Genomic DNA, 26,985 nt, shown 5'->3' on the forward strand with positions numbered 1-26,985 from the left:
ATGTGACGGGTCCAAAGACCTTCCTGAGGTACACCAAGGTCTCTGCTCTGAGCTGAGCTACAAAGAGGGCCTGGAGGGAGTGGCTCTGGGTCTCCTGACAAACACTCATCCTCTTGCTAAAAAGGAAGGCACTCTGAGAGCCAGATTTGCTGCTTAAATCTGCAGCCTCTGTAGACTCTTCTCTTCTCTATTGTAAATTATTGCTTTTGATGGAAGACAAAGTTTTGTGCCTTTTCTTTGTTTATACAGAGTAATAATAAGGCTAAAGTGTAATTTCCTCTAAAATGAGAAGTATGAACAGCTAAATTTACTTTTTTTGTTATAGGAGATAAATCATAGCTTATCTTTATTTAGGGTAGGAATGGTCAAACTCCTCCCCTGCCCCTAAACAAACAGTTATAGTGGTATATTTTAAATATTCCTTTTCCCCCGTGGCTGTCCCTGGAGCAGTCAATACTGTCATGGTCCCAGCTAAACAATGAGTCCAGATTTCACTGCTGGACACAATTCAGATTACTATGTCTCAGTAGAAAAATATGGAAAGAATTACAATGACCGCAAGCATTTGCTATAAAACCACACATTTAAAAAAAAAAACCTTTTAAAGCGTAAAAGCTAAATATCTTTACACATTTACAACTTAAATGCCCAATGCTGTTAAGAAATAGTACAGATGAGGAACGCAGTTTCCTTCTATTTGAAGCAATTGATGTTTCATTGCTGTATAACTATTCGGTTGCTTAAAAGATACCTCCAAGTCCAGCTTCATGGGCTGTGACTTGTACAGTCACTCGGGGCCCCACACTTTGTCCTTGCACTTGGTTTGATGCTCTGCTGTCACTGTCTTAGAATTCTTTTAATTTTCAGACAAGGAGCCCTTCATTTTCATTTTGCACTGGGGCCTGTCCTGGGTATCCCTAATTGTACATAAGCTGGTGCTGTGGCTCACAGGCTTACATTTTGTCTTCTCTTTCCTCCAAGTGTGTTGTATGGTTCTTGTCTGGGTTATGGGGTTTAGCCTATTTTTACCTTTCTGCACTGCTTCTTATGTTCCATTTTCACCGTGTTTAGATTAGAGCAGACATGAACTTCCTGTGTCTCAGCGCCGGCCATGAATCAGGCTGGGAGCTGGGACCACAGGGCTGTCAGGGGAGCTGCCTGGATCCAGCTTTAAAATAACAAGTGCTTGACAGCTTCGTTTACATAACTGCAAAATTGTGGCTATATTCTACAATGCAGTTACATGTGACATAATAACTAGGGCCTTAATTTATTTAGACCTTTTCCTTGCAATATAATTTCCAATAAATACATCTCCCAGGGGCAGGAAGACATGGCATTTCACAGTGCTCATATTTTCCTCCCTGAATTTGGACCTGCTTTTTTTTTTTCTTGATAGTTAACAAAATGAACACTACACCTCGTAATTTTACATTTACCCTACTTGTCACAGCCTATGTGCAGGGCTTTTGAGAATAAATGGAGTGCTCGTGGAGTGCGGTTAGAACACGTTTCATTTCATTTTTAAAGTTTTCTTTCTTTTTTTTCTAATAATTTTTTCCTAAGTATCCAAAGTAGCACTAATAATTTGCTAGAGTGCAATAGAAATCAAAAATTTTCTTTAAGGCACTACAACAATGTACAGAAAATTAAGTTTAGTTTGTATATGCACTTTTAAAGTTATTTTTTAAATTTGAGGTTTCGGTTGATAACGTCTAAATGAAAAAAGAGGAAGGTGAAAGTAAATAGTGGAAAACATCCCCTTCCCTCCAGAGGAAAGAACAGTCATTGTCTTGTTATTATTTAATATTTATCTAAGGGAAGAGACATCTAGGGCCAAGCACAATGGATGAAATTGTGCCAAAGATGAATACAATCTCTGCCTCGAGGTGCTTTCTGCTTAGGCTTGGGTCAAGAGTGCGGCCAAGGGAAGGAAGTGAGCTGAAGAATCTAGAATTCCGCTGGGTGCTGAGTGCCAAGCCACCTGCGGGTTTGGAACAATGGCTTTGGCTGGGAAGTATTGGAGAAATTCTTCTGAAAGGTTGGAAAGCTGATGGTAAGACTTGAAGGACAACAGTTGTGATGTGTGTGCACTTATGATCAGTACACAAGGATGAAGTTGTTGTTAATGTTGTACAAGTGCTGATTAAATAGGTAAGATGTTCTTCAGACATTGAGAAAGAGATTCTGTGGATAACCATGAAGATCTTCAGCAGAAACCTCACCATGGCTGGCTTCGATGAACCAGGCTGCAGCTCCCAATCTGGTGGGTGGTGCAGGACATCAGTGAATATGATAAGAGTCAACATTTCTCTACAAATGGGAACTCTGAGAAATCACCTTCTTCCCAAATTATAACCTTGAGGATTTTATAGGAAATAGGCTATATCTGGCTGAATAAAATTTGCCTTTTCTTCTCTCTGCATTCACAACTGCTTAAAATATATAATGGGTAAACATTTTGATGGTGGAGAGAGAAATAAACCCATACACATATACATATAAATGTGCAGCTTCTTTTGTGTGTATTTTATTTTTATTGGAGATCTTAATAATCAGTCAGCACAAGATTTCTTATGATGCCAACCAATATAGAAAGGAAATTGTATAAAAGAGAAAATTTTTGTAACTTTTTTTATGGACAACTGTCCATGAGAGAAAATCAAAAAGTAATGTAGGAAGAGCAATCAGTTCAACACCAAGGGTTGGATACTTGGCAATGCTCAATACATTCTTAAAGAATCATTCATTTTAAGTGAGAGTCACTTCTTTTTTGCTTCTAGTTCTTAAAGTAGCTCCTCATCTTGTTGTGGGTATACTATTCAGCAAGCAGTAACAGACACCATCTTTTAAAGGTTCTAATTTTCCTCTCTGATTTTTTTTTCTTGCATAGTGTATAGTACCAGCATATACAGTTTCTGAGTGCATGAAAAATCGTCAAAAAAGATACAGGTAGAACAGAAAGCCCAGAAATAAACCCTGCTGTAATTGCAAATGTTTTTCAATGAGGGTGCCAAGACCTTTCAATGAGGCAAGGATAGTCATTTCAGCAAATGGTACTGAGAAAACTGGATATCAAAGTGCAAAGAATAAGGTTGCACTGTTACCGTACATTATATACAAAAATTAGCTCAAAATAGGTAACAAATCTAAACCTAAAACTGTAAAACTCTTAGAAGAAGACATAGAAGAAAAACTTTATGACATTGGATTTGGCAATCATTTCTTTGTTATGGCAACAAAAGTACATGTAACAACAAAAACAAAATAGATATACTGATGTATTAGTCTTTTTTCACACTGCTGATAAAGACATACCCAAGACTTGGAAGAAAAAGAGGTTTAATTGGACTTAACAGTTCCACATGGCTGGGGAGACCTCAGAGTCATGGCAGGAGGCAAAAGGGCACTTCTTACATGACGGTGGCAAGGGAAAAATGTGGAGGAAGCAAAAGCAGAAACCTTTGATAAACCCATCAGATCTCATGAGACTTATTCACTATCATGAGAATAGCATGGGAAAGACCGTCCCCCATGATTCAATTACCTCCCCTTGAGTCCCTCCCACAGCACATGGGAATTCTGGGAGATACAATTCAAGTTAAGATTTGGGTAGGGACACAGCAAAACCAACTGAACTTAACCAAAATTTAAAATTTTGTGTATCAAAGATCACTATCAAGAGGATGAAAAGACAATCCACAGAATGGAAGATAATATTTTCAAATCATATATATATAGTAAGATATTAATATCCAGCATATATAAAGAACTTCTACAACTCAACAGCAACAATAAAACAAATAACTCAATTGAAAAAATGGGCAAACTATCTGAATACATGTTTCTCCAAAGAAGATAAAAAAATGGTCAGGTGCAGTGGCTTGCACCTGTAATCGCAGCTACTCAGGAAACTGAGGTGGAAGGATCACCTGAGGGAAGGATTTTGAGACCATCTTGGACAACATAGGGAAACCTCCCATCTCTAAAAAGAATAAAAAATTAAAAAACAAAAATAAAAAAGAAGATATAAAAATGGCCGATATGTACATGAAAATGTATTCAATATCACTGGCCACAAGTGAAATGCAAATCAAAATCACAATGATACATGTCTTGACATCTATAAGGATGGCTATGTTAAAAAAAATTGGAAATAAAAAGTGTTGGTGGGGATGCGGGGAAATTAAAACTCCTGTATATTGATGGTGGGAATGTAAAATATTTCAGCCACTGTAAAAAACAATATGGCACTTCTTCACAATGTTAAACATAGAAATACTAGAGGGTCCAGCAATTCCACTATTAGCCATATGTCCCAAATAGTGGAAAGCAGGGATTCAAACAGATACTTAAACACCAGTGTTTACAGCAGCATTATTCACAACAGCCAAAAGGTGGAAACAACCCAAATGTCTATCCACAGATGACAAAAATACACAAACATACAATAGAATGTTATTCAGCCTTAACAAGGAATGAAATGCTGACATATGTTGCCACATGGATGAAACTTGGAGACATTATACTAAGTGACATAAGCCAGACACAAAAGGAAAAATATTGTGTGATTTCAGTTATATAATGTACCTAGAAGAGGCAAATTCATAGAAACAAAGCAGAGTGGTGGCTGCCAGCAGCTGAGGGAGAGGAGAAAATGAGGAGCTGTTGTTTAATGGGTAAAAAATTTCAGTTTGAGATGATGACAAAGTTCTGGAGATGGATGAATGCCACTGGATTGGATAATTTAAAAGGTATCAAGAAGACTTTCTAAAATGTAAGAAAGGATACACAGGACATTTTTTGGAGACATTTGTTTTTTCTTGCTTTGGCAGCTCATGCTTATCGATTCACTTTTTATTGTTGTGAGTTGGGGATTGGAGCTGCATATTGACTATGAGACTAGGCTACCTGCTGTAACCATATTGACTGTATTGACTCACTTAACAGTCAATAACCTACATTAAAAATAAAGTAGGTCCAGATAAATAATTAATTTGCACACTTAAACATAGACTGCAGATTTTGACTATAATTTTAGAACCAGTTAAATCTGTCTCCTAAAACTTTATATTCTGCTACTATTATCTCCCCATCACAATTGTCAAAACAATTAGATCCTCAACAACACTGTAGGTAGACATCAAGCTAGAGAAGACTTGCATGTATGAAACGAGTTGATTCTAGGTATGTGGGTGTCATATCTCCCCAAGGTGACAGTGACTGTCCTGAGGGGGCACGTGGCAGCACTCTGGATCCCTCACAAAGCTCATCATAGTGACATATTCCTTACGTGTTCATTCCCCCACCCTTTACTGAATAATTTTTCTGTTTGAGGTGTTGGATGCAGGGTACAAAACCAAAAATGAAAAATTAATACCAAAGCCAAAACAACATCCCTTACTTTACTGGCAGAGACAAACAATTACAGTCCTATTGATCCTTGAGTAGGGACAAATATGAACTGGAGAGACTTGTTCAATCTAGAATATTTGAGTAATAGTTTTCTTGGGGGATATACTTCCCAGATGGCTCCCAAAAGATGAGTAAAAGGAGCCAGACAAGGGAGGGCAATGAAATGAAGCCAAAGAAAAGTCATGGTTCTCCGGGCCCATGGGAAAAGCCAGCCTAAGAGCTGGAAGTACACAGCTTGCCTCCACATTTCTGCTTTCCACCATACCCATGTTTCATCAAACATCTCTTTTGAGTAGCCTGATGAAACACAGCTACTGAGCACACATTCCATATAAGAGCGTTGCAAAATTTACCTTCAAAAGTTGTTAATTAAAATCGACAACAGAGCCTGCCCTTCACCCTCCCTCCTCCTCATATAATTCCTGCTCTACCTGTGCTTTCTGTGATTTGCAGAGCCACCTGGTTACATGTGACCAAGCAGAGTAGGGAAAGAAGAAGGAAGCAAAGACCAATAATCATGGATGAATGGACAAGTCAGAAAATCCCTTGAGTTGTGTGTGATTTGTAATTATAATATTTTCTCCTGGGGCCTTAGTGACCCGGGCCATATTTTTTATTTACTAATTATTTTTTCACTACATGCTTCCCAAATAACCAAGTTGTCTCTTTCTACAGAGAGGGGAATCTGGATCTAACTGTAAATAAATTAATATTTACCTGGATCTGAGTGGACAGCTTCATTTAACAACACATGAATATGCTCCTCCCATAATTAAAGGCCTTCAATTATGAATGTTATGTTTCATGGCATAAATCTCATTGAAAAGTAACTTAAAGCAATTTAAAGTATGGATGGGCTCTGATGAAGAGTTTTTTAGAGAGGCTGTGATATTTTTATAATGCAGGGTTCCAGGAATAGTTGTGAAATTTACATGTCATTATTTTGAAGAAGGTATATGGCCTGAAAATAAGTAGAAATTAGCTGATGAAGCTGATACACAATATGAATAAAATGAGGACACCAAAATAAACATGGTCCTTGAGCTCCTGGAATAAAATGTCATGTGCCTTTTATTTTTGACTGTTTATTCAATAAATGTTAGTTGAGTACTGTGCTATGTGCAAACATGAATGAGATACACCTTGGATTCATACAGTGTGGGGTGGGGAGAGACACCAATATTGATATAGACAGTACAGTATGGGAAGACTGAAATGTACAAAGCGCTTACAAGAAGACAAAGCTACTTTGGTAAGTAACCCAAAGGAGACTATTCCAAGGATATGACATGTAAGCTAAATGATTAGACATTTCTAAGGAAAGAAGGAAAATATACTGTAGGCAGGAGGAAGTGGATCTCAGTGTCACCATTAAGAAGCTAGAGCAGTTTTGCCTTAAGAACACTGATGTGGAGGACAGTGATGATGACTGCGGTAGTTAATGTTTACTGGTCATTTCCTTCCTATATGGGCATGCACAGCTCAAAGGATTTCACATGTATTACCTTTTAAAAATCCTCACAATACCTCTGTGAAATAGAGACTTGCGACAGTTTTTTATTGCTGTATATCCCAAAACTTGGTGGCTTAAAACAACCACCAATTATTTAGTGCCTGATTCTCTGTGGGTTGGCAATTCAAGCTCAAGTTCACTGTGAGGAGGAGGCTTCATCCGGACTCCCTCATGAGTCCGTGGTCAGCTGCTGTCCAGCTGGGGTGCTGGCTGGTCTAGAGTGGCCTCAGCTATATTAGCTTTTTTGGTTCCCTGTGGTGTCTCCTTGGTAACATCCCATCTTAAGCTTTCTAAAAGCAGGAGTGGAAGCACACGAGATCCTTGATGTCTGGGTTCAGAATTGGCCACAACTTCTGTTGCATTTCTGTTGCCTACAGCAAGTCACAAGTCACAGGACAGCCCAGATTCAGGAAAGGGAAAGCAGACTGCACCTTGTGATGGAGGAGTTGTGAAGTCACATTACAGCAAGACATAGATCCAGGAAGACTATTGTGTTCATTTTCACAAATCATCTTCCATCATACTATTATTACTTCCACTTTATAGATGAAGACACGGGAGCATAGGCTGAAAGACTGTAAAGTATGTGAGCCAGGACTTAACTGTTTGAGCTGCCTGACATCAGAACCTGGGGTCTGCTCTACTGCCTCTCCCTAACAATATTAACAATGCTTTTTCATCGTTCTCTAAATTGTGCTACATTCAGGTGAACTCTTCTAACCTGAGATTTTCCCTTCTCATGAATGAAATAATGCCTACCCTGACATTTTAGGTTGGTATGAAGCTAGTTCCAAAGTTTGTGTTTGTGACAGCAGACTAATTGTCCTATCTATCAACTAGAGTAACAAACCACCACCTAGCATTATAGAGTCATGAAGTTTAAGAGTCCAGTCATGGAGAGATTGTAATGTCCTAGATCTAAATAGGGAGATGTGTTTGTTAGTACACTTAAGATTTATACATTTCAGTGATTGTCAATTTTACCTAAGAAGAAAACAAAATAACTGTAAACAAATAATAAACTCTGAGGCTATGCAGAATACACTGGGGAAGTGTACTGATGTCTGTTACTTTGGAATAAATTTTAAAAATGATATGGGCTAATGAATGGATAGAGGGATGGATAATGGGTAGATATGTGATAAACCAAATACCATATAATTGGAGAATCCAGATGGCTAAGATTCCCTCTAAAGTTTCTTTATGGTAAAATCTTGGAGAACAAAAGTTTAAGCTCTGGAGTCTTGAAACTAACTTTAAAAGTAGGCTAGTGGTTTGAAACTCCCTAGTTGTGTGATCTGGAGAAATTTCGAGAATGTTCTCAAACCTCAGTTCTTCCACTTGAAAACTGGAAGAGATATTGACATCTAATCTATAAACTGTGGGATAAATAAACATGAGAGTTAATTAAACATGAATACCTAAAGAGCTCTTCACATTGTCTGTCAGACCCATTGCTAAGCACTTTATACATAAATGCTCTACAGTGAGTGTTCACAAATAGTAACTACCATGAAATGATGGAGAACATGCCTGGAGTCCTTATCAGTTGTGAAAGTTTTCTACCAGAATATCTATAATAAATCTTCCCTGATTCATTCTTCCTAAAAAATAATAATTATATTGAACGAATACTCATGCATATTCTTACTGAACTCTTAGTTCTTTGATCATTGATTTTAGAATGAGAAGATATCTTACATGGCCAATACATTATCTGTTGTAAAGAAAGTGTTCACAAGATACAGAGTAACTTCTAGTGTTAATAATTTAAAAGCAATTTTTTAGGAGTTATTGTATAGCAAGATGAAAAGACGTTTATCAGAATCTCATTTAAACCATTTAATAAAAAGGAATACAAAGTATCTAAATTCAGATATTATTTGGTTTCTTTCTGAGGTCATGAAAATTTGCCTTCGGTGATAGCTGAATGTGTCTGTGCATATGTGCACATACAGTAAAAGGCATTGAACTGCACATTTCACATGATAGAATAGTATGACATGTGACTTCTATCTCAACAAAGATGTGACAAAAAAGTGTTCAGCTAAGCGTACAATGTAGTGAACACTATCTTTCTTTCTTTATCTCTCTCTTTCTCTCTCTCTCCCTTTCTCTCTCTCCCTTTCTTTCCTTTTTTGAAACAGGGTCTCACTTTGTCGCCCAGGCTGGAGTGCAGTAGTGCAATCTCAGCTCACTGCAGCCTCGACTTCCCAGGTTCAAGTGATCCTCCTGCCTCAGCCTCCCAAGTAGCTAGGACCACAGGCATGCACCACCGTGCCCAGCCCCACATGTTTCTTCTTAAACATATATTCCTACAAATACAGCATGTGTCTGTGGGATTCACATTTAAAAGCAGTATTTTAAAGGAGACAATTTTTTCTCTAAGAAAATATATTTTTCTGAGTTTAATCTACTATTTTAATACTTTATCATTTTGGATTAATTTATAAGATTACTATAAATTTCTAAAAGATTTCCTGTGAAATATAACATTTATCTGTACGCATTAAAATGGAGATATAGGAATTGGAAATTCCCAGCCAGTGAAAAGGGCTTTTTGAAGTGACTGTTTTTAAACTAAAGTCAAAGAGGCAACCCCCTAAATCATGGTAACTTTAAATATAAAAAACAATTTATAGTATTTTAATGTATCAATCTATTAACTGTGTTGGCTGAAAATATGTTTTTTAACTAAAAATTTTAGTTTTTTAAAACTAAAATTTAGTTTTCTTGCTTTTTCGTATCATACCTCAAAAGTATTTATTTTCACAAATATTTATTTTAATAAAGATAAACAAAGAAACCCTGAGAAGGGAGAAAGCCCAGAGCTAAGATAAAATCAAATGTGGTTAAATTATTAAAATATTCTACAGTAAAGTGGCTGCAACTGCAAGGAGGAAGGGGAAAAGGAAAATTTCTGCAAAATTCATCAGCATTAAGTGAGTCTACAAATATCACAGGATCAGTACCCCAGACAGTCAGTTTGACCTCTAGTCTTTACCCTGGTAAATCTTTTCCAAGTTTTTCTGAGTGATGTCAATGCAAAGTTTTCCCAAACTTCCTGGAAATTTTACAAGCAATTCACCAGAGATACAAAAAAATATCTGGGGCCTTAGCCAACAGCATTCCTCTATGAATACTGACTCTTGATTTGCTTTTTATTTTTCTTAATTGGGGTTGAGCAATTTTAGAGATTTACAGTTAAGGAGACAAGCGAATTATGAAACTTAACAAATTAAAATATGAAAATGTTCATCATTTCTAGCCCCACTCTGGACATGATTTTTTTTTTTTTTTTATGTAGTAAGAGGCCAGATTTTTCACACAAGCATCCGTTTAATTAACTGTAGTGTATAATAAATTCTCAGATTAAATCTTACTGGAATTTATTAAGTGACTGTTTCACCCCAATAGGTTAATGAGCAAACCATTATTAATGTTGCTTCAGAAAAAAGGGCACGTTTCCTAAACTGAGAGGAAAGAAGGCAAAAGAAAAACTCAAGCCTTCTTTTTCTCCAAAATGTATTTCTTTTTATTGTCAACATTGTATTCATTGGTTGTTCTTTTTGTGTCCTCTAATTCCATTATCTGGACATGTCTCAGTGCGAGTACCAAATAGGAGATCAGCTAAGCATTTGCTGCACCTCAGACAAAATCTCATTCTGGGTTATTAGACAGTGTCTGATGCTGCCGACTTCTTCTCGCCAGCTTAGCAAGCACAGCCTCTGGGAGAGGCTTTTTTTGGGGAAAGATCGCTCAGGAAAAATGCGTGTGCTTCTTGACGAGCCATTCTAGGTTGGGTGTCCCTGAAAGTATATGGGGGTGGTGTCCCTTTAAGCACAAGGAAAGGGCAGGTCCTGCTGTTATCCTTGACCCTCTGACAAAATAGTCAGACGCTGTTTGTAAAAGAGCCAAGTAATTAAAAGTATCCCAGGGTTATGGTGAAATAGGGCAAGTAAAATACGCTCCTGGATACCAGCGCTCTTTCAGGACCAGCTCTTTTGTATTTCCTCTCTATTTTGTTTTCTCCTTTATTTCAATTTTTCATGGCACAGTTTCCTCTCTCCCACATTGTTCTTCTTTGCCTGTCAGTTGGTAAAATGATAAGTACCCTTATTACTGCTCGTCTAGCTTGAGGCCTATCTGGAGCTATTTGCTTCTAATCCCCAAGTTACTCTCCAACTCCTAGCTCGATTTGTTTCTCTTAATTTCAGAACAGATTGTTAATCATTAAATGTATTATGAGAGGGTATAGAAATAGATAAGAGTTACACAGGAAAACGATGGGACATTTTCCAGCATTTCATAAGCATTTTTCTTTAGGATGGTGTTTCTAACAGAAGGAAACTTGGGGTGTGCTCCTTGGCTATCTCTAGGTTGACCATACATCTCGTTTAACCCCAAACAGGCTGAGTGGATGCCTGTTGTCCTGGCTTAATCATTAGTGGCATGTTTTTCACTCTCAAAAGTGCTCTGAATTAGAGGGTAGACTGCTCTATCATCCCACCTCTCTCTCATTGGACTGTTGAGTAACTGCTCAGTAAATAGATACATTAGCTTTGCTTTTGTTTAGAGAGTTCACAAAGCCCTTCTCTGGGTCTTCACCATTACTTCTGTTCTTAAATTACTATGAGTACTGTCAGACTTTGGAATGGAAACAATTTGTTACTGTCCAGAGATTCCCCATATCTCTAAATGGCATTAGGAAGCAAATGAATGCTTGGGCTTTGAATCAGGTAGGAGGGTTGGAATCTGCTGTGCCATTCACAAGGTTGTGTGACCTTGGGCAAATCATTTACCTTCTCTAAGCTTAAATTTCCTTATCTGTAATTCACACATAATAATAATTTCTACCCTGGATTATCATAAGGATTAAATAATAGATGATTATAGTTGTATGCTTATATTAATCCACATATCCATCACCCATACAGAAATTTCATTCATTATTCCTTATTTAAGCACAATGCCTGATACTACAACTGGAAGTGGTTTGAAATTATAAGAATATGTTATTTTGCTTAGACAAAATGTTACATTTAAATACGGCAGGGGCAATTAATTAATTTCCTCCAAATTGGGTTCATTCTAAGGCTGGTTCTTCAGGGTTGCAAACTGGCTGCAGCAGTTCAAGGCATCATGTCCACACACAACAACATCCAGAGGCAAAAGAATGTGCTGCCTCTTTCTTGTGTCTTTGAAAGGGAACTTCACGCAGAAGCCTCTCACTACATCTCTCCCTTTTCCTTGGTCTGAATTACATCACATGCCAATGCACTTGTTCATTATTGCTAAAGAAAGAAGGGGAATGAGATCTTCAGGATAAGTTGGCCAACAACGCTCTCCCGCGTGGAGAAAATGGCTTGTCTGATTAAATCAGGGATGTGTGTGCTCGCAGGAGAGTGTGCGTGTGTCCTGGGTAGATGAAGTGTGGGCAGCTGGATATCCAAATTCCAGCCAAGGATGTGACATCAGATTGCTTCATGAATTCTAGAAAGCTCCAGGCCTTTTCACTGTCCTGTGTATAAAATGTGGCATTGGCTTCCTAATAGTATAAGATGTCTTCTACCTTTAATGTTCCGTTTGGTTTGGTTTTCTCAAAACCATTACAGTCCATGGACACCCTTCCTTCTTTCAGAAAGTACTTTTTAGATAATGATGAACTGATGAAAGACACTAGAATGAGTTAGAAGATTTTTGTTCAAACTCAGATCCACTGCTTAGTAATTCTATGACTGTCATTCATTAAAGAAAAAGCTTTTTATAAACGATAAAGAATAATATAAATCCAAATGATCGCTAGAGTCCATTTGACAAAATGCTGGGATTTAAAAAAAAAATTTCTTTTTTTAAAGTTCAGGGTCCCTTTAGAAGGTTAGTTAGCTTGGGGATGTAGAACCCTCAGGATTGTACCTTGAACTTGTTCTCACGTCCGCTCCTTGTTTCTTCTCAGGAGGGGATTATCTACAAGAAGAAAAGTGGGGCTTTTGCTTTATCCCCTAGTCCCAACACACTCACTGTGGACCAATTGTTTTCACACACTAACAAGCGTAACCCTGGAACATGAGGATGTTGACATGACCTGTATACAGTTATGAGACTGGTAAGTAGCAAGGATGTCACCTGCTGTTGCCAAAACCCCGATCCTTCCACTGCTTCTTTGTCATTGTCCTTTAGTGCCCAAGTTTAGACAGGGCCATTGTGAAGTGACCAAATTGTCACCACATTTCCTTGGAAGGCTTCCTATGGCAAGTATGAGGGTGCTCTTTTTCCAGCAAAATAACAGTGAAAGGGGCATGAGGAGTGAGTCTGCGCAGTACCATGTGATCCTGAATCACCATCCTCATCCTCAGGAGACACATGGCAGAAGGACCACTGGGGGGCTGGTGTATGTGTTCAGTAGTCAGCTCTGAGTTCAGGTGTTTTAAGTCCCCGGACCTTGACCCTTGGCTTCCTAGTGTGTGTGTGTGGGAGGTGGGGAGCAGCAGTGGTGGGAGTGGGATATGAGAAACAAGTAGATCTCAGCTTCCTTTCAGGGCTAGTGTTCTAAAATCTTAAGTTGATTGAAAGAGCCACTTCTGCAGAGTTGGTGCAGATGTGGAGACAATTGCACAGGGCAGCATCCCAGCTTCAGACAGCGGGTGACCAAGTGTCAGTTTGTGGAAGGACAGGTGCTGGGGAGCTGGGAACTGCCACCCGTGGATGTCACCGTGGAGGAGCGCCGTGGGCGAGAGGCAGCTGCTGAGAGCTGCACCAGCTGCAGGGAGGCTGCACTCAGGACCACACACTGAGAAGTGCTGCTGGTGCCACCCTGGGGGTCCTAGAACTGGGGCTGTCACAGAGGGCAACAGCTTGAGCTCATGCTAGGGAGTTTCATGACTTCAAGATTTTCAATCTTTAATATCTGTTGTCTTTGTGGACAAAGTGCCCAGATTTTTTTTAATGCTTTGTCTTTCATCTTTCTTTCTTCAGATTTTGAATTCCTATCACTACTTTCATACAATCATAGTGTTCTACTTTTTTTTTTTTTTTTTTTTTTTTTTTTTTTTTGCTATCCTGGTGGGGGAGGGTCTTGAGAAGTGAACCTTGTTAAAAAATTAAACCACATGTATTTATTCAAGAAGCTCCCTGAGAAGGTCAACAAGTTGCAGTCAGCTCTCAGCTGTCACTTTCTTTGTTAATATCGAAGTACTCTGTGTTTTATCCTCTTTCCCATCTTCTGGTCATTTTTCTGCTCATTAGCTACTTGAGCTTGGGGTGGGCAACAAATAAGATGGAATTTTAAACCTGTCAAGTTGAAGTCTGGTTAATAGCCCAGTGGAGGTACAATGGGCGGAGAAGGGAAAATGAATTCTATATTTGAGAGAAATAGTAGCTGCGGTAGAAAAATTAGTCTTGACTTACTTTTCTCTTCCTGATATTAGTGATTGACCATGACACAACCTCCCATATCTGTTATGGTGGAATCAGATTTTTCAAAATATAGAGTCAAAGATACCAGAGCTACAAGAGTCTTCTTCTATCAACCAGACCTCTTGGTTTATAGATGAGGAAATGAAGATCTGACACATAAACAGATCTACTTTCAGCCATTAGAATGGTTGCATTTATTGAATGCTAGTAAGGATTGAGGTCAGTGTTCAAGCCCTAATTTCCCTGGCTCTGACAGCATTTCCACCATGCTATCTTGATCTGCCAAGGGTCACAGTGCTTGTGACAAACCAGGACCCAATTACTAAAGACCACCTAAAGCAAATTTGTTGTTAAGCCTTTCATAAGTTGTACTTTCTTTAGAAGTAAGGAGAGTATTTTTAATCTCTGTATTTCCAGGACCAAACATAGTTTCTGATATGAAGTGCATTCTCATGAAATATTTGGTCATTTAAATGCATATTTTATGTCTTCCTCTGTTAAAGATTGTAAAATCATTTATTAAGATTGCATAATTACATGCACCCAAATTTAGAAATATTCCTATAGTTAGTATTGATTTGATCATCCTTTTGGATGAGATGATTTTGTTACTATGCATGAGGCTATGTGTTCTTGGCTCTCCGTGGTTTATTGTCTTAGTACCAAGGCTACTTAAAGCAGTTCTTTCCCTCCCAGAAGCAGATCCACAGCAAACGTTATTAATACAATATTTTTCCTTTATTTTACTTGTATATCAATATCAAAAAGTATGTAATTGTTGAACACATAAACTGCCCATAACCCTAACACCAAGTTTTTCTTTGGAATTATATTATCATCATGATTTTAGTGTTTAATTGGTATTTCAATGCCATGATATAATAAACTTAATTATTCCACATCATTTCACATGACCCTGTAAGAGGATCAGAGTGGGTAGCAACTGCACAGGCTCTGGAGTCAAAATGCACCTGGCTTCAGAGTTTTGCTCTGCCACATGCAAGTTGTGCAACCTGAAAGAGGCCTCAGTTTTCTCATCTGTAAAAGTAGAGGTTATAATCAGCCTTGCCCCAAGACAAAAATATATAGTTATTTTAAAGATTAGATATATAATCACCATTAAATCCCTGAAACATACATGAAGCACGCTACCTAGTACAGGGCAAACACCTAATAATTGATGAATAAATAATTGGCACTCAATAAATGCTCTTTCTCTACTCTCACTTTCCTGACTTTCCCCAACTTCTTAAAAGGGGAACAATTTGGCTGCAGTAGAACTTGCAAAATAAAATATCACCTTTTTTCTTTCCTTTTCTTTCTCTGCCTCTATGCATGTGGACGCGTGATCTCTCTCCTGTTAGGGATATTAGGAGAGAAAGGACTGGGAAACACATTTTCCATGGAGTCCTCTGTCTATTTGAGCACAGCAGTCTATTCTAGCTGGGCTGGGTGAAAAGGCAGCTCAGCTTCTGGGATTTTTGCTTTTTTGCTGGACCCTAGAGGGAAGAGATGAGTTTTACGTCTGTTACTGGCTGTGGTAACACTCGGCTGGGAAGTTCATGTCCCCGGAAGACACAGGCCTTTTGGCTCCATCACAACAGTGCTTCCTAGGGATGCACAGTCTCACCCTGGAGGCCCCAGTTGCAATATTGGGTGTCACAAATGTGAGAGTGAAAGCAGCTGATAGAAGACACAGAATGCAGAAACTCAAGGCCTTAGTCCCAAACACACTCAAGTTGCATGACCGAAAAAAAAAAAAAAGAGAGAGAGAGAGAGATAGTTGAATGTAATAAGGATGTAATATGCTAACTTCTCAGTGCTTGGCAGAGGCCCCCTCACCAGCTGGGCCACACCAGACATAGAAGAGACCAGACACTGGCTTAGGCTTCCAGAAAGAACAAGTCACAACAACACCCCCTCTGGCATCTCCCCCAAAGCCTGACTGGTTTTTAATGGGGATCACCTGGGGTTTTAGTTGAATGTAGTCAGAGTGTTGAACATCTAATCTGCCTTTGAGAAAGAGTATCCTGCATTTCGAAGGGAAGGAAGTGAAAATAAAGCCGCCTGAATCTAAATAAAAGGGCTTGCATAGCAGGGGTTTTCAGTGGGTTCCTAGCTTTGGAGCATGAAGCAGAAGAAGGAGCTGAGCACTGCCCGGGTAGGGGATTCGAAGAGGCATGCTCCGCTGCCAGTGGTGTCACCTTCTGTTGTGTAAATCGCAGCTCCTGCCAAAGGGAACTCCCTAAACAGAGAAACAACGACCAGAATAGTTCATGAAAAGCCTGGGCTGTTGGAAGTTAGGCCTTCTCTGGAATTGCTCCCCGGATACTGACGGCTCCAACGTTTCCAGTGTGCTATGGTTGGATCAGACATTCTTCTCCAAGCCAAGATTGCTTCCAACAGCTGGAGGAACAGCCCCTCCTGTCCTCTCCACCTCCTCAGCTTCATTTCTCACTGGAGACCATCCGAAAGGGGAGTTTAAAATTACTGTCTTTTGGGTAAATAGCGTTTACTTTTCCAGACTGAACTGCCAAAGACCTTAAGAAAATTAAAGAAAGAAAAGAAAAACTGAGTTGCCATGTCTGGTAAACAGTGTTTCTCTAATTAGGTGGCTGCATGGTTATTAACTAGAGCAGTTGTGTATCCTGACGTATGATTTATTTACCTTGGCACACAGAGTTAGGGTGCTGAGCAACAGAGCCAAATACGGTGACAGGGTGAGGAAAATGAGAGGATGCAAAACCATGGTGAGGACTGAGTTCTGTACATCTTACAGAATTGGTTTTCCCAGAGGAGGGAAACAGGAATATTATCTCATTGCAAAATAGTCATTAAACTATAATTGACTGCTCACAGCTAACAATGTCTAACTTCACTTTCAGTCAAAATGAAAATGAAAATCAATATCCTGACACAAAGCAATAATACAAATTAGAGAGCAATACTAGAAAGGTTCTCTAGAAGGATTTAGAATACGCTGTAGTTGAAAAAATATATAAGAAAAGAAAAAAATGATTATTTGCCATTACTCGTCCCATTGCTGGAAGGGTGACTTGTGAAACAGAAGGTCTTCTTGGAGATGCATGCAGAAGAGGTGGGATATTTGTGAGGGAGGAACTTCCATCTTTCCTCTCTTTCTTACTGCAGATTCCAAGTCCCCCCCATACACCTGCATTAAAGTAGAGTAACATGGAAGCAGCATTATTGCATCCCACTGACACACACATCCTCATTTCACACCTTTTCAAATGTATACCAAATAAAAAATACTAAAAGTAGTGTTTTAGGCTGGGCATGGTGGCTTATACCTATAATCCCAGCACTTTGAGAAGTTGAGGTGGGAGGATCACTTAAGGCCAGGAGTTTGAGACTAGCCTGGGCAACATAGCAAGACTCTGCTTCTACAAAAAATTTTTAAAAATAGTTTTTAAATAAATATTTTCTAAGGATATGTTATATTCAGAGTTATCCTTCCTGGATATAGTTGTGGTACAGAAGTGGATTGACATAGCAATTATTATATTACCAACCACAGAGGGTTAGCTAACTTGAGGCTATTATATATACTTAGTGTTTAATATTCCCTATAGGTTATTTCTTTAGTCGTTAATTAAATCATTTAGCAAATATTGCTCAAATGCCTGCAATGTTCCAGGCTCTGTGCTAGAGGAAAGGCAGTCCATATCTTACAGAGTCTGCGCTGACTAGGGAGGGAGGGGATCATCACAATGTGTGATAGGACATGGAAAAGTTGTGTAGGATGCTGTGGGAGAGCATGGAGGAGGCCTCAGGCAGCAGCAGGAAGGACCCTCCAGAGATAGCAGCCTTTGTGCTGTATCTTAGAGGCTGAGGCAAGGGGAGAGCAGGAGAACACAGCTTTGGCAGCATGAGTAGAGTTTACAGACAGAACATGTTACAGATCCAAACTTTTTACTACCTGGGATGGGTGGACATTGCTGCTTTTTGTGTAGGATACAGTAATGATTAATCTTAAAAACATATTGTGTCTGTTTGGCGATGTCTTATTGAACTTTATCTAAGGGTCTTGTTAACGTACACATTGTGATTCAGCAGGTCTGGGGTGGGGCCTGAGATCCTGCATTTCTAATAAGCACCCAAGGGGTATTGCTAACCTGAGGACAACACTCTGAGTACCAAGGGACCAGATCATCCAAAAAACCTCCAGCTAAAATACTTAGGAACTCTGGATGATATATAGATATAGATATAGATATAGATATAGATATATAGATATATATAGATATATATATATATATATAATATAAGTAATAAATATGTATATATAAGTAAATTATATTTACTTATATATATATTACTTATATTATATATATATATATATTTAAAAATCCATTTAAACCCTTATCTGAGCTCCCTGCAAAATAAATAAATTCTCATGGGGCATGAAATGGGGGTGGGAAGGGAATAAAAAAACAAAACAAAAGCAACCACTCCAGCTAGATTTGCTAGTCATTGAGGCCTAAGAGACATATAAGGTGGAAGAGAAGGGCATGGGCCCACACATGTTGAAAAGAGTTGATGGGAATTAACACTCTCACACAAAGTCAGGACCACCAGATGATTAAAGCATATATAAAAGTGTGAAAAATCTTCTTATGGATACAAGGTGAAAAGGAACAAAAGCCCATCTTATTCTGTGTAGCACATGGGGAAAAATCCTTTCCTGATAATTTGTAGCTATTACCTTGACCTCCTATAGCTTTGAGTTCCAATTTATATGCTTGTCACTGTCTTGGAATTCCAAAGCAGAGAATAATACAAACATGATCCCAAGTCAATGATAACCCTAAAGCCAAAAGTAAACCTCACTTCCTCAAGTTAGGCCAGCCAAGAATCTCACAGATAAAATTCTACTAAAGATGAGCTTACAATGGGAAGGTATTAAAAATATAAATAAATAATATAGCATGAGCAAAAGTCAGCAAATAGTAAATAGCAGGCTTATATGTCCAAGAACTTCAAATAATAAAATGATTTGAAGCTATAAAATAAACATGCTTAACATGATTAAAGACATCAGAGAGAGGAGTATGAAAAAGCAACAATATATTATATAGTTAGATTTATTTGAAAAATAACCAAATATAATATTTAAAAATTATAATACTTTAAATTAAAAATTGTAGTTAACATAAGATAACAGATTAGACACAGCTGAAGAGAGAATTATTGCAGTGGAAGACAGAGCTAGAGAGGGTGAGAAATGGAAGGTTGCAACTGAAAGTTATATTTTTTGTGTCTGGGAGCAACATTAATTGAGAGAGGCTAACGGTGCAGAAAAAGAAAGAATATCTGAGGGACCAGAGTCCCAAAGGAGGATGGAAGGTTGGGATTCAGATACAAGTAGAAGGATTAACCTGTATCAGAAGAGCAATACCTTCCAGGGGTAAAGAAAGCAAAAGTAAGCATGAGTCAGACAGCTTCTAGGCAGAAATAAAGCAAGTTATTATCTAATGACTTCACTTTTACTGTGAACTAAAAACAATTTATTCCACACATAATATGTGCCAGGTCATTTTGTTAGAGCTTCTCATATATTACCACATTGACTCTTTATGCCTAAAGACAGATGTAAATATTAGTATTATCTTCATTTTACAAGTGAGAAAACTAAAACCTGGCCAGTTAAGTAAGTTACTTAAGGTTCCACTGCATGTAAGTGAAAATAAAAAGATTCAAATCCAGTCAGTCTACTGTGTGGAAAGACATACAAGCAGGTTCTATGCTGAGTAGGGGAGAAATGGAAGAAGAGGGCAAGAGAATAGAGAAACCACCAGAAAGGAGCAGCAGAGAGAAGGCCAGACTTGCCCTAAGTAAAAATGGCCCAACTGAGGCTTGAGGACAATGCATTTTCTACAGAATCCTTTCTTTAAGGATACCAATAGAAGACTATGCTTGATACAAACTCTTTGTAGAACAATTAGTAATGCTTTTTGGACATTAAGGTCAGTATAATCTCTTTGTAGTGCAAATTTTCAGTGTCCAGTGAAATTGAAGCATACAACACTACAATACAGCCGACACAGGCTTTTTTTTTTCTATCCAAGCTAAATTTTTCTCATGGCACAAGGAGATGTCTACAGGGAACTCATAGATATTTGCACTTGTTTTAGTCTGCCTTCCTGTATATTCTATCTATAGTCCCCGTAGAACCATGGTTGAGTCTCAAATCATGTGATAGAAATACAATCCACAATTTCACAGTCCTCCCCCACACTCCCCACCTGCAACTTTCCCTAGAACAACACCAATTTCAGCCACGTGGTCACTCTCATATGATACCAACATTTTTTCTAACCTGTACACTTTTCTCCATTTTCTGCTGTTACACTGTCCACCTCCAGGCTCCTGCCTGGACTCCAGTGGTAGCCTCCCACTGGTCTCTTGGTTTCTACACTTTCCCATTTAAATTATCAGAATAGTTAGTGTTAACCTTTTTTTTTTTAAAAAAAGACTTTATTTTTAAGGCAGTTTTAGGTTCAAAGCAAAATTAAGAGGAAGGTACAGAGATTTCCCACCCACCCCCTCCCCCTGCACATGCAGAGCCTCCTCTATTCTCAACATTCCCCACCAGAGTGGTACATTTGTTACCACTGATGAACCTACTTTGACACACCATCTTCATCCAAAGTCCATAGTTTACATTAGGGTTCATTCTTGGTTTTGTACATTATATGGGTTTGTATAAGAATATAATGACATGTGTCCCCCACTAGTATCCTACCCAGTATTTTTGTTGACCTAAAAAATTCTCTGTGCTCTGCCTATTTTTGCCTGTCTACCCCTTAACCCCTGAGAACTACTGATCTTTTTACTGTCTCTATAATTTTGCCTTTTACAAAATGTCATATACTGAAATTGTACCATATGCAGCCTTTTCGAATTGCCTACTTTCTTAGCAATATGCATTTCAGGTTGCACCATGTCTTTTTGTGGCTTGATAGATCATTTCTTCTTATTGTTGAATAATATTCCATTGTCTGGATGTACCACAGTCTATTTATCCATTCGTCCACTGAAGAACATCTTGGTTGCTTCCAAGGTTTGGCAATTATGAATAAGGCTGCTATGAACTTCTATTTGCCGGGTTTTGTGCAAACATAAGTTTTCAAGTCGTTTGTATAAATATCAAAAAATGCAATTACTAAATTATATGATAAGAGTGTGTTTAGTGTTGCAAGAAACTGCCAGACTGTCTTCCAAAGTACCATTTTGCATTCCCATCAGCAATGAATGAGAGTTGCTCTTGCTCCACATCCTCTACCAGCATTTGGTGTTGTCAGTGTTCCAGATTTCGGCTGCTCTAATATGTGTGTCATTGTTTTAATCTGTATTTCTCTAATGACATAGGATTTGTTGCATGTTTTCATGGGCTTATTTACCATCTGCATACCTTCTTGGGTGACATGTCTGTTTTTAGTTGGGTTGTTACTGTAAACTTTTTAGAATATTAACTAGATCATGACATTTCCCTGCTGAAAACCCTCCAGTAAATTCACATCACATATAAAGTAAAAAGCAACTTTTTATCTGGTATATTAACCCATACTCAACTTGCCCCTGCCTAGTCTTTAGCAATGTATTTTTCTCCAGAAACATTGGCTTTATTTCTGTTCCTCAAAGCCACCTGCTTGTTCTTGCCCATGGCTGGAACTAGAATGAGGTCCCGAGGGCACGAAATGTAAAGCACCAAGGTGCTTACTTTCAGGGGCTGGCTCTACACTCACATAGTCCTGGGGCTCAGTGCTCCTTAAGAGTAAGGTGCCCAGGTGCAAAGTGTAAGGAGGTGCTCACTCTTAGGCTCCTGCAAGTGCAGGGTCAGCCCCCAAGAGTGAGTGACTTTTTATTAGATTAGTGCGAAAGTAATTGCGGTTTTTACCATTACTTTCAATGGCAAAACCGCAATTACTTTTGCACCAATCAAATACATTTAGTTTCCTCGATACCTTATATTAACGGTAATCCTGGTTCAGATCCTACCCTGGTATATTCGCTAAAGGGGATCTAATCCTCCTTTCTCATTGCCTTTTCCCTGTTCCTTTTCTTTTGATTGGCTCCTAAATTTTCAGACCTGCATTCGAATGCTAAATGTCATATCCCAGGTCTTCCCAGAAACACTCATATGCTGTGTAGAGTCACCCATGCATTCTTTTTTTCCCCATCTCTCCTTCAAACAACTATCACCGTTTGAAATGATCTTTTTTCTCAAATTTGTTTTGGTTGTTATTGTTGTTCTCCTGACAAAATGTGAGGAAGGAGGAATGTGCTGAACATTGAAGGATTCCGCTCTGGGAATTAAATTGGAATACTGACTTCATGGAAATGATTGTTTCCAATCCTGCTGCTGGAGGATGTGATCTTCCAGAACCTAAACTGGGCTTGGGGACTAAGAGTGTGTAAGTGATCACATCAAAATCCGTCCCAGCTGCAGGTGATGTAGAGAATATTGCCTGGATCTGGTCTTGGGTAGCGGGGGATGGGAGGGACTACAAAGGGGCCTGCTTTGAAAACAGCAGGATAAGAGCCAATTCTGGAATCTTCATCCTATTCTAGAGAATTTGGCAGGGCCGGGGAGGAGGAGCAGGGGGTATGGGAAGAAATAACCAAGTTAAGGAGACAGATGGCTACAACAATAGGAAAAAAAAAAAAAAGAGTGGCTGAATAATCGAAGCCCTTCAGAGCAAAGAAGTGATAAATGTAACCTGTGCCTCAGAGGGACACAAGAGGCTTAGTAGGCAAAAATCAACCTGCTATATTATCTGTGCTGGAGTTCAGGGATTGTGTGAGGGGTGTGTGCATGCCTGTGTGTGTTCATGTCTCTGTGTGTGTGTGTATGTGGAACAACTCAAACTATTTTTCCTCAGCTCTCACACCACAACAACAAACACAGATTTCTGTGACCAAATATTGAATGGGTGGTTCCCATATACCAAGCAAGCAATCATTTCTGCAGCAGACACCAGCTGGACATCCTCTAATTCAATTCTGAAGCTACCTGCCTGGAGATAGCGTCAGATCCCACAGCTTGAGAGCTGGGATCCACAAGACTGCCCCTCCCTCACCCCATCGTCAAAAGTTGGGGCTTCTGGATCTTCTGGCAGGCTTCAAGTTAGTGCCCCCATGACTCCCTCTTTAAGTTTGATTAATTTGCTACAGTGGCTCAGAGAACTCAGGGAAACACTTACTTAATGTTTACCAGTTTATGATGAAGGAGATTACAAATGATACAGATGAAGAGATGCATAGGGCAAGGTATGGGGGAAGGGCACAGAGCTCCCATACCTTCCTGGGTGTGCTGCCCTCTAGGAACCTCCACGTGTTCAGCTATCTGGAAGCTGTCCCAAACCGGACCTTTTGGGGTTTTATGGAAGCCTTATTAAGCAGGCATGGCTGATTAAATCATTGGCCGTTGGTGATCAGCTCAACTTTCAGCCCTTCTCCCCTCCTTTGGTTTGGGGAGGGGGGCTGTATGTCCCAATCCTCTAATCAGCCTTTGTCCTTCCTGGTGACCAGCCCCCATCCTGAAGCTACCTAGAGGCTGCTAGCCATCAGTTAATTATTAGCATACAAAAAGACATCACTTAAGAGGTTCTAAGGATTGTAGGAGTTGTATGCATGCAGGAAAGTGGTACTGAAGAAGGATATATATTACACAATATCGCAGTGTGTGTGTGTTGCTTCCCCACAAAATTGCCTAGACAACCTAGAGCTATATTAGGACCTCCAGAGAGCCCCAAGTCTTGAAATAATTGTAGAGAGCTGGGTGTGGTGGCTCATGCCTATAATCCCAGCACTCTGGGAGGCTGAGGCGGGCAGATCACAGGGAACCAAAAAAGAGCTCGTATAGCCAAGACAATCCTAAGCAAAAAGAACAAAGCTAGAGGCATCATGCTACCTGACTTCAAACTATATTACAAGGCTGTAGTAACCAAAACGGCATAGTACTAGTACCAAAGCAGATATATAGACCAATGGAATAGAGCAGAGGCCTCAGAAATAACACCACACATCTATAACCATCTGTCTGATCTTTGACAAACCTGACAAAAACAAGCAATGGGGAAAGGATTCCCTATTTAACAAATGCCATTGGGAAAACTGGCTAGCCGTATGTGGAAAACTGAAACTGAACCCCTTCCTTACACCTTATACAAACAAAAATTAACTCAAGATGGATTAAAGACTTAAATGTAAGACCTAAAACCATAAAAACTCTGGAAGAAAACCTAGGCAATGCCATTCAGGACATAGGCATGGGCAAAGACTTCATGACTAAAACACCAAAAGCAATGGCAACAAAAGCCAAAATTGACAAATGGGATCTAATTAAACTAACGAGCTTATGCACAGCAAAAGAAAAGATCATCAGAATGAACAGGCAACCTACAGAATAGGAGAAAATTTTTGCAATCTATCCATCTAACAAAGGGCTAATATCCAGAATCTGCTAAGGGAGGAGACCACCCCTCATATTGTCTTATGCCCAATTTCTGCCTCCAAAGAAAGAAGTAAAAACTAAAAGGTGGAAATGAAATCCACAGGGAGACAGCCCGGCACCACACCCTGGGCCTGGTTAAATATTGACCTCTGACCTAACAGGTTATGTTACCTATAGATTCCAGACATTGTATGGAAAAGCATTATGAAAATCCCTGTCCTGTTCTGTTCCGTTCTGATTACCAGTGCATGCAGCCCCCAGTTGTGTACCCCCTGCTTGCTCAATCAATCATGACCCTCTCACACAGACCCCCTTAGAGTTGTAAGCCCTTAAAAGGACAGGAATTGCTCACTTGGGCAGCTCAGTTGTTGGAGATGAGAGTCTTGCTGAAGCTCCCAGCCAAATAAAGCCCTTCCTTCTTTAACTCGGTGTCTGAGGGTTTTTGTCTGTGGCTTGTCCTGCCACACTACAAAGAACAAATTTACAAGAAAAAAACAAACAACCCCATCAAAAAGTGGGCAAAGGATATGAACAGACACTTCTCGAAAGAAGACATTTATGTGGCCAACAAACATACAAAACAAAGCTCCTCATTGCTCATCATTAGAGAAATGCAAATCAAAACCACAATGAGATACCATCTCACACCAGTTAGAATGGTGATCATTAAAAAGTCAGGAAACAATAGATGCTGGAGAGGATGTGGAGAAATAGGAATGCTTTTACACTGCTGGTGAGAGTGTAAATTAGTTCAACCATTGTGGAAGACAGTGTGGCGATTCCTCAAGGATCTAGAACCAGAAATACCATTTGACCTAGCAATGCCATTATTGGGTATATACCCAAAGGATTATAAATCTTTCTACTATAAAGACACATGCACATGTATGTTTATTGCAGCACTGTTCACAGTAGCAAAGACTTGGAACCAACCCAAATGCCCATCAGTGATAGACTGGATAAAGAAAATGTGGCACATATACACTGTGGAATACTATGCAGGCATAAAAAAGGATGAGTTCATGTCCTTTGCAGGGACATGGATGAAGCTGGAAACCATCATTCTCAGTAAACTAACACAGGAACAGAAAACCAACCACCGGATGTGCTCACTCATAAGTGGGAGTTGAACAATGAGAACACATGGGCACGGGGAGGGGAACATCACACACTGGGGACTGTCAGGGAGCAGGGGGCTAGAGAACGGATGCATTAGGATCCATCTAATGTAGATGATGAGTTGATGGGTGCAGCAAACCACCATGGCATGTGTATACCTATGCAACAAACCTGCATGTTTTGCACATGTATCCCAGAACTTAAAGTATACTAATAAGAGACAGAAAAAAATTGTAGTGTTCCTAACATATGTGCCTCAAAAATTAAAATAATACTACACTATAAGAAGTACTCCCCAAATTTATTCATGATGATATTTATCAATTAAATTCTTCTTTCGATATAATTGTTAATTCACATGCACTCATAAGAATAACACAGAGAGACCCTGCATGTTATTTTTCTGGTTTCCTTTGATGATAATACTTTGTGAAACCATAGTACATTATCACAGCCAGGAGATTGATATTAATACAGTCCATTGATCTTGTTTTGATTTCTCCAGTTTTACTTGTACTCCACTGTGTACGCATATTCAGTTCTATGCAATTTCATCACATGTGTGGACTTGTGCATCCACCACCAGAGTCAAGATACAGAACAGTTTATCACCACCATGATCCCTTGCATTGCCTTTTTATAATCATGCTGTAGGAGGTTCCAGGGATTTGCAGGCTGATCAGGGAAAAGGCATGACCACGAGACAGTAGACCACACAAGCTTTAGTAGGTAAATGACTTTATTAGGCAAGTTTGTGCATTGGGCAGCTCCCTCACAGCAAGAGCCTGTCTAGATGCTAGGACATGAGGGTTAGTACTCAAAAGGGGAGGAGGGCAAAGGAGCTCCATGGGAAAAGTGGAATTGCAAGGGGGCTGTGTGTCTAGCTGATGTCCCTTAGCAGCAAAGAGGGAGTCTGCAGGTCATAGAGCTCTGAAAGGCACAGTGACTTGGGATCTTTATGACACAGAGGCTTATCTTATCTGTAACTAGCAGACATTGGATGCAGTTTCATGGGGCATTAAAAACAGGCAGGCTGTAAATG

The 26,985-nt window shown here is 39.3% G+C and overlaps 2 annotated features.

Annotated features, from left to right (window-relative positions):
• Positions 16,131–16,632: an enhancer, noted in NCBI's record as "NANOG hESC enhancer chr10:36476706-36477207 (GRCh37/hg19 assembly coordinates)". NCBI's record gives its function as "activates a minimal SCP1, AML or CMV promoter by ChIP-STARR-seq in naive H9 embryonic stem cells {active_cell/tissue: H9 hESC(naive)}" and the evidence as "EXISTENCE:reporter gene assay evidence [ECO:0000049][PMID:30033119]".
• Positions 23,626–24,325: an enhancer, noted in NCBI's record as "OCT4-NANOG hESC enhancer chr10:36484201-36484900 (GRCh37/hg19 assembly coordinates)". NCBI's record gives its function as "activates a minimal SCP1, AML or CMV promoter by ChIP-STARR-seq in naive H9 embryonic stem cells {active_cell/tissue: H9 hESC(naive)}" and the evidence as "EXISTENCE:reporter gene assay evidence [ECO:0000049][PMID:30033119]".

Source organism: Homo sapiens, chromosome 10, assembly GCF_000001405.40.
Source record: "Homo sapiens chromosome 10, GRCh38.p14 Primary Assembly".
Classification (NCBI taxonomy): domain Eukaryota; kingdom Metazoa; phylum Chordata; class Mammalia; order Primates; family Hominidae; genus Homo; species Homo sapiens.